The 13,240-nt window shown below is 49.6% G+C and overlaps 1 long non-coding RNA gene across 1 annotated transcript in view; it reads left to right on the top strand.

Moving 5' to 3' along the window:
• LOC107987016 (uncharacterized) overlaps nucleotides 1-11,729 on the top strand; it is a 38,337-nt gene extending 26,608 nt beyond the window's left edge. Inside the window, exon 2 of the long non-coding RNA XR_001746560.2 lies at nucleotides 10,458-11,729. This is a non-coding gene — a long non-coding RNA (uncharacterized LOC107987016). The remainder of the gene's footprint in view (nucleotides 1-10,457) is intronic.
• Nucleotides 11,730-13,240: the final 1,511 nt, after the last annotated feature.

Genomic DNA, 13,240 nt, shown 5'->3' with positions numbered 1-13,240 from the left:
CTTAAAGTCAATGTGTGGCAAAAGTATAGTGATGAGGGAATACAGCCCCTCATAGCAAAAGAACATCATGCCACATGGCCCAAAAGTTACAAGCTCAACCAATAGAAATATCCTTCATGTTTCACTCCTTCAGAATCATATTCCCTTTGTCTTCCAAAAGAATACTTTCTTTTCAAATGTGTATCTGAATCTTTTTTCACACAAATACTTTATTTTGTTTACTGAAACTCTCTCTGTTTGTTTTGTTTTGTGTTTTGAGACAAGCTCTCACTCCGTTGCCCAGGCTGGAATGCAGTGGCCTGGTCACAGGTCACTGCAGCCTTGACTTCCCAGGTTCAAGTGATCCTCCCGCCTCAGCCTCCCAAGTCGCTGGGACTACAGGCACACACCATTGCACCCAGCTAACTTTTTAAATTTTTGTAGAGACAAGGTCTCACTATGTTGCCCAGGCTGGTCTCAAATTCCTGGGCTCAGGTGATCCTCCTGCCTCAGCCTCCCAAAGTGCTGGGATTATCGGCATGAGCCACTGCGCCTGGCCTCTCCTTGTTTTCAAGATGCATATCTGAATTATTTTTCAAATCTGTGTTACAAGGGTCTCCCTCCCCTGTACATCTCAACATGAGCTCCAGAAGGAGGTGGTGAGTGTATGTATGTGTGTGCGTGTGTGTGTGTGAAATCATTTATAAAGAGAACGTGTAAAACTGATAGGCTGAGAACGAACATGAGTTGTCACCCAGCCATGGCTGGTGGATGTTCCCCGCATTCCTTTGTGCCCAAGTAGACCATAAAAGCCATCTTCAAAATTACCTGAGTTGGCCAGGATTACAGGTGGCTCACACCTATAATCCCAGCTCTTTGGGAGGCTGGGGTGGGAGGACAGCTTGAGGCCAGGAATTTGAGACCAGCCTGGGCAACACAGTGAGACCCTTCTCTTTATAAAATAAAATTAAGAAGTTAGAAAAAAAAAATCCTGGCCGGGCATGGTGGCTCATGCCTGTAATCCCAGCACTTTGGGAGGTCGAGGTGGGTGGATCACCTGAGGTCAGGAGTTCGAGACCAGCCTGGCCAACACGGTGAAACCCCGTCTCTACTAAAAATACAAAAATTAGCTGGGCGTGGTGGTGTGCACCTGTAATCCCAGCTACTCGGGAGGCTGAGGCAGGAGAATCGCTTGAACCTGGGAGGTGGAGGTTGCAGTGAGCAGAGATCAGGCCACTGCACTCCAGCCGGGGTGACAGAGTGAGACTCCATCTCAAAAAAAAAAAAAAAAAATCCTGAGTCTGTGGTCTGTTTCCCCCACAGTAGATCCTTATGTTCTGCACTTTAGCTTTGTTCCTGGATCCTCTGTGCTCCCACCCTTGTGCTACTTTCTTGTTTTCCCCCTACTCTTTTTTTCTGCTCTGGTTGTGTATCACGCATCCTTGGAAGCTGCCTGAGGTCCTCTCTGCAGCAAGGCAGGGAGCAAACCAACCAATCAACCAACCAATCAGACAATGTACAACTGGATTGCTGGGCCCTCTGGCCTGGGTCAGAGAGGCTGAAGCCACGACCGGGTCCTCGTCTTTTTTTCCTTTATTCTTTTTTTTGAGACAGAGTCTTGCTCTGTCACCCAAGCTGGAGTGCAATGGCACAATCTTGGCTCACTGCAAACTCCGCTTCCCGGGTTCAAGTGATTCTCCTTCCTCAGCCTGCCGAATAGCTGGGATTATAGGCATGTGCCATCATGCCTGGCTAATTTTTGCATTTTTTGTAGAGACAGGGTTTCACCATGTTGGCCAGGCTGGTCTCAAACTCCCGACCTCAGGTGATCCGCTCCCCTCGGCCTGCCAAAGTTCTGGGATTACAGATGTGAGCCACTGTGCCTGGCCAGGTCCTCATCTTTCTAGTACCAGCCAGAAGGTGGCATTAGAGCAGCTCCCAAATGTCATGCAAGTGTCAGAGCCAGGGCAACCTCAGGTATGGATGGGATAGTGGTTGCAGATGGGCCTTGAGGACTATAGAGGGAGGCGAGCAGGGCAGAAGAGAGCTGAGGAACAGCAGCAGTCTGCAGGCTGACACCATCCTCAGGCCTCCGGGGCAAATTAATGTCAGACAGGCCTTCTAGGTCAATGTCAGGAGCGAGAGAGAGAAAAGATGGAATGTGCTCAGTGCCGGACATGGAGGTGCTCAGGAAATGTTGGAACTCTCCTTCCCCATGTTTTCCTGGAGGATTGGATGGCTTTGCCCTTTAAAAGGCCAGTATCAGGCCAGGTGTGGTGGCTCACAACTGTAATCCCAGCACTTTGGGAGGCCGAGGCGGGCGGATCACCCGAGGTCAGGAGTTTGAGACTACCCTGACTAACATGGAGAAACCCTGTCTCTACTAAAAATACAAAATTAGCTGGACATGGTGGCGCATGCCTGTAATCCCAGCTACTCAGGAGGCTGAGGCAGGAGAATTGCTTGAACCCGGGAGGCGGAGGTTGCAGTGAGCCGAGATGGCACCATTGCACTCCAGCCTGGGCAACAAGAGCGAAACTCCATCTCAAAAAAAATGAGATAAAATAAAATAAAAGCCAGTGCCTGGAGCCCAACCCAGGTCCGGTCCATGCTGTTACCACCATATTTCTCCCTTGGCATCGTGAGCCCACCCTCTGCAGGACCGACCCCTGAGAGACAAGGCCAGTCCTTTTCTCTTGCAGCTGCTTGTTCTGTGGTGAGATTCAGTGGGTGGGAAGAGATGGTAGGAATAGCTGCAGCTTGTCCCACTTTTCATTGCCCTTCTTGTTTTTCTTCTCCCAGAAGAGGAAGTCAGTGGGAGGGGCTCTTTGCCGGGAGCCCAATTTGTCCCCAGCAGTGAGCCTCCGTAGAAAGAACAGCAGACAGAACCTGAAAACCTTATTTTGTATCTGCTGGTGTGGTTGAAAGCTTGGACTTGGCCAAATGTGGTGGCTAATGCCTGTAAGCCCAGCACTTTGGGAAGCCAAGGAGGAAGGATCGCTTGAGCCAAGAACAGACTGTGCAACATGGGGAGATCTCGACTTGACAAAACAAACATTTTTTTTTTTTGGCCGAGTGCAGTGGCTCATGCCTGGAATCCCAGCACTTTGGGATGCCAAGGTGGGAGGATCACCTGAGGTGGGGAGTTCAAGACCAGCCTGGGCAGCATGATGAAACCTCGTCTCTACTAAAAATTCAAAAATTAGTTGGGCGTGGTGGCAGGCGCCTGTAATCCCAGCTACTCGGGAAGCTGAGGCAGGAGAATCGCTTGAACCCAGGAGACAGAGGTTGCAGTGAGCCGAGATTGTGCCATTGCACTCCAGCCTGGACAACAGAGTGAGACTCCACCAAAAAAAAAAAAATTCTTCTATCTTTTGGCCAGGCGAGGTAGCTTACGCCTATAATCCCAGCACTTTGGGAGGCTGAGGTGGGCGGATCACAAGGTCATGAGTTCGAGACCAGCCTGGCCAACATAGTAAAACCCTGTCTCTACTGAAAATACAAAAATTAGCTGGGCATGGTGGCGCGTGCCTGTAGTTCCAGCTACTTGGGAGGCTGTGGCAGGAGAATTGCTTGAACCTGGGAGGTGGACTGAGATCTTGCCACTGCACTGCAGCCTGGGCAACAGAGCAAGACTCCATCTCAAAAAAAAAAAAATTTTTTTTTAATTAGCCAGGCGTGGTGGTCCATGCTTGTAGTGCCAGCTACTTGGGGGACTGAGGTGGGAGGATCGCTTGGGCCCGGGAGGTCCTGGCTGCAGTGAACCATGATCACACCACTGCACTCCAGCCTGGCAACAGAGTGAGACTCTCTCAAAGAAAATTTTTTAAAAAGAGAAAAGGAAACATGGTAGTTAACCACTAAGGAGGTAAGGGAGGACTTGAAGGAATTTAAAAATAACAAAGTAAAGGCTGGGTGCAGTGACTCACACCTGTAATCCCAGCACTTTGGGATGCTGAGGTGGGAGGATCACTTGAGGTCAGGAGTTCGAGACCAGCCTGGCCAACATGGTGAAATGCTGTCTCTGCTAAAAAAAAAAAAAAAAAAATTAGCCGGGCGTGGTGGCAGATGCCTGTGATCCAAGCTACTTGGGAGGCTGAGGCATGAGAATAACTTGTACCTGGGAGGCAGAGGTTGCAGTGAGCTGAGATCACGCCATTCCACTCCAGCCTAGGAGACAGAGCAAAACTGTCTCAAAAACAAACAAAAAAAAGTAGATAACAGCTGCTATTTCTAGGGATGAGGGTGAGGGTAAATATTCAAGGAAATACATCTTTCCTGTGGTACTTTACTTCTATTTGAAACAGGGGCTCTCTCCGTTGTCAAGGCTGGAGTGCAGTGGCACAATCACAGCTCACTGCAGCCTCAACTTCCAAGGCTCAAGCGATCCTCCCACCTCAGCCTCCCAAGTAGCTGGGATCACAGGCTCACGCCACTATGCCTGGCTCATTGTTTTAATTTTTAGTAGAGATGAGGTCTTGCTGTGTTACCCTGGCTGGTCTTGAACTCCTGGACTCAAGCAATCCTCCTGCCTCAGCCTCCCAAAGTGCTAGGATTCTGTAATCCTAGGTGTGAGCCACTGCACCTGGCTGTCCTATGGTGCTTTTAAAATTTTCTCGTTGCCTTTGGTTTCTGACTATCTTATTCTGATGTACTCTAATGTAGCTCGTTTGTCTATATTTTGTTTTGGGTTTGCTGAGCTTATTGAATTTATAGTATGATGTCTTTTGTTAGATTCAGAAAAGTTTTGGTCTTTATCTCTTAACATATTGCTTCTTCCTAATTTTCTCTTTCTCAAACCATATTTATATTATGTTAGATCTTTCATGTGTGTTGTATTTATGTCTTATGCTCTTTTATGTTTTATTTTTACTTTTTTTTTCTATGCTTCAGTTTGGATAGTTTTAATCACACCCATCTTTCAGTATGCTAGTCCTGGCTTTACTTGTTTCCAATCTTCTGTGAAACCCATCTATGGAGTGCTTATTTTCTTTCTCTCCTCTTTTTTTTTTGTTTTGTTTTGAGACAGAGTCTCACTCTGTCGCCCAGGCTGGAGTGCAATGGCACAATCTTGGCTCACTGCAACCTCCCAGGTTCAAGTGGTTCTTCCGCCTTAGCCTCCCAAGTAGCTGGCATTACAGGCACCCGCCACCACGCCTGGCTAATTTTTGTATTTTTGTAGAGACAAGGTTTCACCATGTTGGCCAGGCTGGTCTTGAACTCCCGACCTCAGGTGATCCATCCACCGCGGCCTCCCAAAGTGCTGGGATTACAGGCATGAGCCACCACGCCTGGCCTTGGATGCTTATTTTCAGCATGTAATTTTTTAGTTTTAGAATATTCATTTGATTCTTTCTTTCTTTTTTTTTTTTTTTTTTTTTGAGACAGAGTCTCGTTCTGTCACCCAGGCTGGAGTGCGATGACACGATCTTGACTCACTACAATCTCTCCCTCCCTGGTTCAAGTGATTCTCCTGCCTCAGCCTCCTGAGTAGCTGGAATTACAGGCGACCGCCACCATGCCTGACTAATTTTTGTGGGTTCTTTTTGATACAGACAGGTTTTCGCCATGTTGGCCAGACTGGTCTCCAACTAACTCCTGACCTCAAGTGATCCGCCCACTTCAGCCTCTCAAAGTGCTGGGATTATAGGCATGAGCCACCACGCCCAGCCTCATTTGATTCTTTTTAGAAATTCTAGTTGTCTAAAACAAACAAACAAACAAAAACCAAACAAGGAAAAAAGAAATTCTAGTTGTCTCTTAAAAAACACTAACGTGAAAGGAACTTTAAAAAGGTGATTGGAAGCTCGATTCTCACAGTTGGGTTTCACTGAAAGGTGATTGAAGTGTGTGCAGAGCTCTCATCATACCATCAGCAGAAAGCATATTCTTTGGGACTTAGCAGCTTAAAAAGAAAAGTCCTCCAATCTCAGGCTGGGCACAGTGGCTCATGCCTGTAATCCCAGCACTTTGGGAGACCAAGGTGGGCAGATTACCTGAGGTTGGGAGTTCGAGACCACCCTGACCAACATGGAGAAACCCCGTCTCTTCTAAAAATACAAAATTAGCTGGGTGTGGTGGTGCATGCCTGTAATCCCAGCCACTCAGGAGGCTGAAGCAGGAGAATCGCTTGAACCCAGGAGGCGAAGATTGCGGTGAGCCGAGATCGCGCCATTGCACTCCAGCCTGGGCAACAAGAGTGAAACTCTGTCTCAAAAAGAAAAAAGAAAGAAAGAAAGAAAAGTCCTCCAATCTCTTGCTTGGGGTAGGGCATGGAGGAGACACCCCGGGCTGTTGGCATTCTGGGAGCAGGTGAAGGAAAAAAGTCTGGAATCCTGCCATTCAGAATGCGTATCCCTAATCCCCGTTTGCAGTCTTGTTCTCTGCTGTGCCTGGTCTGAACAAGTCTGGGGCCTTTTGAGTTCAATTCCTCCAGGAAGAAAATGCTGTTTTTAGGCCTGTGGGTTTAGTCATCTGGCTGCATGGGATAGGGAGAAGGCTTGGGAGACAACTCCTCCATGTTCAGACTTCCAGCTGCACCCTGTTCCCTCCAAGACTTGGACCTCTCGGGGATGTTTCAGGACAAATTGGCCTTGGTGTCTCCTCCATGGGCACTTTGGGTCATAACCACTGGTGACCTTGGTACTTCTCTGTTAGCATGCCATCTTCCAAAGGTTGGTTGGAATCTTTACTTGGCAGATGCCTCCTCTCCCAGCTTCTTTGTCATCATAGGTCAGCTTAGATTATTCCTTTACTGTCAGGTTAGTGGTGTCTGAGGAGGGAAAGCAGATGCATGCCTATGGCCAATCCACCATGTTTAAGCGGCTCATGACCAGAGTAGATTTGCCTCCACTCCCCGCTCACCCTTCTAATCTGGCCTCTGCCCTCACCACTCCGCTGAAACTTCCCTTATCAGGTCCCCAGTAGCTGGATCCAATAGACTATGTTTTTTCTCCGTATTATTTGATATCTTGGTAGCACTTGACACCGTCAAACTCACTCTCCTTCTTTCAGTGCTCTCCTGTTTTATCTGCCGGGGGAATATTTTGTCCCAAAGACCCCTCCTGCCTTTCTCCTACCTCTTTGGTCTCTGTCTCTGCTTCCAGTGTGCTGGCTTCTCTTCCTTCTGCTTCTTCGAAACCATGACTATTCTCAGGGGTCTGTTCTGGTTCCCTTCCTTTCTCACCCTGCACCCTCTCCCTGAGTGTGTTCATCCATTCCCATGGTTTCAATTTCACTCCAAAGGCTGATCTTTTCCAAATGTCAACCTCCAGCTCTGACCTCTCACCTGAATTCCAGACCTACATCTCCAGCTGTCCCCAGACATCTCTTCTTGGATGGCCTCAGGCTGTTCAGATCCACACGACGGAAGCTAGACCCTGCTTCTCCTTCCTCCCAAACCTGCCTCTCCTCCTGTACTTCTAGCTCAGAAGTGGTCACCACCAGCCAGGAGCAGTGGCTTACACCTGTAATCCCAGCACTTTGGGAGGCCAAGGTGGGCGGATCGCTTGAGGTCAGGAGTTCGAGACCAGCCCAGCCAACACGGTGAAACCCCGTCTCTACTAAAAATACAAAAAACTTCGGCGGGCATTGTGGTACATACTTGTAATCCCAGCTACTCGAAAGGCTGAGGCAGGAGAATTGTTTGAACTCAGGAGACAGAGATTGCAGTGAGCCAAGATTGTGCTACTGCACTCCAGCCTGGGTGACAGAGCAAGACTCCATCTCAAAAAAAAAAAGTAAAAGAAAAAAGAGGCCGGGTGTGGTGGCTCACACCTGTAATCCCAGCACTTTGGGAGGCTGAGATGGGCGGAGCACAAGGTCAGGAGATCGAGACCATCCTAGCTAACATGGTGAAACCCTGTCTCTACTAAAAAAAAAATACAAAAAATTAGCCAGGCCTGGTGGCAGGTGCCTGTAGTCCCAGCTACTTGGGAGGCTGAGGCAGGAGAATGGCATGAACCCAGGAGGCAGAGCTTGCAGTGAGCTGAGATCGCGCCACTGCACTCCAGCCTGGGCGACAGAGCGAGACTCCATCTCAAAAAAAAAAAAAAAAAAAAAGGAAAAAAAGAAAAAAAAGAAAATAGTTATCACCATTTGTCTAGTGGCCCAGAAACTTGGATGTCAAACTTGACTGCCCATTTTCTATTTCCACACCCAATTAATTGCCAAGACTCACTGCCTTTACCTTTTTTTTTTTTTTTTTTTTTGAGACAGAGTCTTGCTCTGTCGCCCAGGCTGGCGTGCAGTGGTGCAATCTCGGCTCACTGCAACCTCTGCCTCCCAGGTTCAAGCAATTCTCCTGCCTCAGCCTCCCAAGTAGCTGGGATTACAGGTGCCCAGCACCACGCCCAGCTAATTTTTGTATTTTTCGTAGAGAATGGGTTTTCAACTTGTTGACCAAGCTGGTCTCAAACTCCCGACCTCAGGTGATCCACCCACTCAGCCTCCCAAAGTGCTAGGATTACAGGTGTGAGCCACCGCGCCCGGCCTGCCTTTACCTCTTTAATAAATCCCGACCAGTCCACCCACTCTTCCTCCACACAGCCTGTCTCTCAGCCCAGCCTCAGTCTCCCAGCTGGTCTCCCCCGCTTGGGTCCTGCCCCTCAGTCCTGCTGCTGACCATCTGCTCAGACGCAAATCTCATCCTGTCACCTCCCTTCTGAAAGCCACTGGGGCCAAATGCAGTGGCTCACACCTGTAATCCCAGCACTTTGGGAGGCTGAGGTGGGTGAAGCACCTGAGGTCAGGAGTTTGAGACCAGCCTGGCCAACATGATGAAACCCTATCTCTACTAAAAGTACAAAAATTAGCCAGGGATGGTGGCAGGTGCTTGTAATCCTAGCTACTCGGGGGGCTGAGGCAGCAGAATCTCTTGAACCCCGAGGTAGAGGTTGCAGGGAGCAGAGATCATGCCACTGCACTCCAGCCTGGGCAACAGAGTGAGACTCAGTCTCAAAAAAACAAACAAATAAATAAATAATAATAAAAAGTAAAATAAAAAGCCTCTGATGACTTCCACTACCTAGGAATTTGGTCCAAATTGGCCCTAGGCTGGAGTTGTCAGATTCAGCAAATAAAGATAGAGGATGTCCACTTAAATTTGAATTTCAGATAAATACGAAATCCTTTTTTTTTTTTTTTTTTTTTTTTTAGTATGAGTACGTCCCATGCAGTATTTGGCATCGGGGCCTCCCACTCCCTGCACTCTTTCCATATCTCCAAACTTATTACTTGCCACATTGTTTTCCACATGTAAAATTTGGGACAGACTGGACTACATGAAACTCCCTAGGCTGGGCACGTTAGCTCACGCCTGTAATCCCAGCACTTGGGGGCTGAGGCAGAAGGATTGCTTGAGCCCAGGAGTTCGAGACCAGACTGGGCAACATGGTGAGACCCTGTATCTACAAAAAATAAAAAAATTAGGCTGGGCACGATGGCTCACATCTGTAATCCCAGAACTTTGGGAGGCTTAGGCAGGTGGATCACTTGAGGTCAGGAGTTTGAGACCAGCCTGGCTAACATGGTGAAACCCTGTCTCTACTAAAAATACAAAAATTGGCTGAGTGTGGTGGTGCGAGCCGATAATCCCAGCTACTCGGGTGGCTGAGGCAGCAGAATCGCTTGAACTCAAGAGGTGGAGGTTGCAGTGAGCCAAGACTGTGCCACTGCACTCTAGCCTGGGTGACAAAGTGACACTCCATTTTTTTTTTTTTTTAAGATGGAGTCTCGCCCTGTCGCCCAGGCTGGAGTGCAATGGCATGATCTCAGCTCACTGCAACCTCTACCTCCTGGGTTCAAGTGATTCTCCTGCCCCAGCCTCCCAAGTAGCTGGGATTACAGATGTGCAACACCACGCCCAGCTAATTTTTTTGTATCTTTAGTAGAGACGGGGTTTCCCCATGTTGGCCAGGCTGGTCTCAAACTCCTGACCTCGTGATCTGCCCTCCTCAGCCTCCCAAAGTGCTGGGATTACAGGCATGAGCCACCATGCCCGGCCGAGACTCCATCTTAAAAAAAAAAAAAAAAAATCCGGGCATGGTAGCACAAGCCTATAGTCACAGCTACTCAGGAGGCTGAGGTAGGAGGATCATCTGAGCCCAGGAGGTTGAGGCTGCAGTAAGCCAAGATTGTGCCATTGCACTCCAGCCTAGGAGACAGAACAAGACCCTGTCTCAAAAATTAAAAAAATAAAAAGAAGCTCCCCAAATGGGTTAGACATTTCCTCATTGATATGCCCTTTATTCCTGCTGTTTCCTCCACCAGAAAGGCCATTCTCCCTTCTCCCCCAGTCCATCTTTGTTCATCTCTTGGGTGTCAGGACACACTAGGAGTCCCTCCTCTAAGATTCCTCTCTGCTCCCTCAAAATGGATCAGCTGCTCTCCTGGGTGAAGGGAGGCCCCTGTGTGCCTGGATGGCAACTCCACCCTCTGGACCGTCATGTCAGCTTACTCATTGTCTCTCTCCCCTGCAGTCAATGAGTCGCCAGCAACTCTGTGCCGTTCCTGGTTCACATCTGGCTCAGCCCACAAGGCCCCATCCAGCTGGAAGCTCCCGAGGGCCCTGGGCCTTGGCAAAGGCCCCAGCTTTCTTCTCACTCTCCTGGCCTGGGTCCCGGTCTGACGATTCACACTTCCTCCTTGCCTGAGTTCCCACGAAAAGTGGCCTCCACCGCCAGCCCCCTGCCCAGGACCAGGTTACAAAATGCAGAGACAATGGAGGCTCCAAGCCAAATTTCCAATGGGCCTGCCATTAAATCACCAACAGCATCTGTGTGTACATCTGGGACAGATGCCGGCAGCTGAGGCCACAGGACGCATGGCTTTGTCACATTGGGTCAGCATTGGTGACCTTGGTGGGAGTGTTGGGGGTGGAGCTCAGACCTAAAGTTAGGACACTTGAGTCTGAATTGCTGCCCTTTCTAGCTGCCTCAGTTTTCTTGTCTGTAAAATGGGGATAATAATGCTTATCACACAGGGTGTGCGATCAAGGAGAGTGATTCACACACACAAGGATATCTAGCAGCAAACAGGACTCTGGCTCTGATCATCACTTACCTTTCTTGAGGCTGGTGGCAGCAGGACCTGTGATCAGAACACTGTTTGTAGGTTTCTTCTCCTAGAATCACCAACCAGGCCCAAGCAACTTTATTCAGAGAGGAGGACAGTCATCCAGCCCAGACAGCATCTGCCTGGTGAAAATGGCTCCAACTCAACCACCCAAGTGGATGCAGCAGAGTTGTCAAATGAAGCTAAGGGTGAGAATGACTGAACAGGGATAATATAAAGGCCAGAGGGCCATGCTCTGGCCAGGGAGTTGGAAAGTCTGAGGCTTCCTGGCTTCTCAATGTTGGCCCCTCCACCCTTCCTCTCTGCCTGAACCTTCTGCAGACACCCACTGAGCAGTCACTGCTGCCAGCCAAGACCCTCTCTCTGCCTCAAGGTTCCCCTGGAGACTTTCTTGTGGCACCTCTCAGCACCTCTTGCAATTTGTAGCATTTACTTACAGACAGGATTACAGGTTTACCCTCTATCTCCCCCTCCAGACTGCAAATGCCTCCAGGGCAGAAACCTCTTAGTTTACAGATAACAGCAACCAGAAGTGATCTACCAGCAGGTAGCTCATGCCTGTAATCCTAGCACTTTGGGAGGCCAAGGTGGGAGGATCACTTGAGGCCAGGAATTTGAGAACAGCCTGGGCAATATAGCAAGGTCCTATCTCTACAAAAAATAAAAACTTAGTTGGACATGGTGGGTGTGGTGGTATGTGGCTGGGGTTCTAGCTACTTGGGAAGCTGAGGAGGGAGGATTCCTTGCGCCCAGGAGTTTGAGGCTGCAGTGAGCTGTGATTACACCATTGCACTCCAATCTGAGTGACAGAGTGAGACCTTGGTTTTTTTTTTAAAAAAAAGGTATAAATTCTTGAAAAGAAAAATAATGTTTAAAAAAAATTTTCTTGAGGCAGGAAGATCTCTTGAGCCCAGAAATCCAAGGCTGTAGTAAGCTATGATCACGCCATTGCATTCCAGCCTGGGTGACAGAGACCTTGGTCTTTTTTAAACAAAATTATAAATTTTTGAAAAGGAAAATTTAAAAAAAAATTTTTTTTTTTGAGACGGAGTTTCACTCTTGTTGCTCAGGCTGGAGTACAGTGGCACAATCTCGGCTCACTACAACCTCCACCTCCCAGGTTCAAGCGATTCTCCTGCCTCAGCCTCCTGAGTAGCTGGGGTTACAGGTGCCCACCACCATGCCTGGCTAATTTTTTGTATTTTTGGTAGAGACCGGGTTTCACCATGTTGGCCAGGCTGGTCTCAAACTCCTGACCTCAGGTGACCTGCCCGTCTCAGCCTCCCAAAGTGTTAGGATTACAGGCCCCTTGGCATGAACAGACTGGGCGCCATGAATGGCAGCAGGAGGCAGACAGGCTCCTGGGTGGGAGAAGGCAGGTCCCTGGTGAGGCCCCACCTTCAAGCCAGGGAGGGCCTGAAGCCTGGGGGCTGGGCTGCCAGTCCCATGGAAAGGAGTGGGAACTTGTGGTGCTTTTTCTAGGCCCACTCATGGCCGCTCATGGACCAATTGGTGCACACTTCCTTCCCTCCGAGGAAGGGTACGAACCCTCAGCTCCTCCTTGGCCTCCCTCCCCTGCTCATCGGTGTTCAAAGTCTGGAAGGGGCTGAGGTGGCAGGCGGCTTGTGTGTCAGCACTGCACCAAGTGTACCCACACCCGGCCGGGCTGTGACAGCGCCTGGGCTCAGCCCCAACCTCACTCCAAGATCAAGGAGAGGCCAGGCAACGGGAGCAGGAACTTCCAAGCCTGCGGGGGAAGGGGGTGTCTTCCCAGGCCCCCGAGAGTACAGAAATGCCTGGGTCCACAGCCACGGATTGGGCAGCTGCCGCTGCGCCTGGAAGGGTGGGGCTCCTGTCTGCTCCCAGCCCCCAGCCCCCAGCCCCCACTGGCTCCATGGAGTATGCAGCGCCGGCCGCACCTCACCCACTGTAGCCAGTGTCACGACAGCGGTTTCTCTAGACAGGCCACCACTGCCATCACCAGCACTTTGGGAGGCTGAGATGGAGGATCATTTGAGCCTAGGAATTCAAGACCAGCCTGGAATGCATAGCAACATGGCAAGACCCATCTCTACAAAATATTAAAAAATTAGCCAGTGCACACCTGTGGTCCCAGCTGGTACATGCCGGGGCACACCTGTGGTCCCAGCTACTCAGGAGACTGAGGTGGGAAGATGGCTTGAGCCCA

The sequence above is a fragment of the Homo sapiens genome, chromosome 9 (genome assembly GCF_000001405.40).
Source record: "Homo sapiens chromosome 9, GRCh38.p14 Primary Assembly".
Lineage (NCBI taxonomy): Eukaryota > Metazoa > Chordata > Mammalia > Primates > Hominidae > Homo > Homo sapiens.
This window is presented reverse-complemented; position numbering and strand designations above follow the sequence as displayed.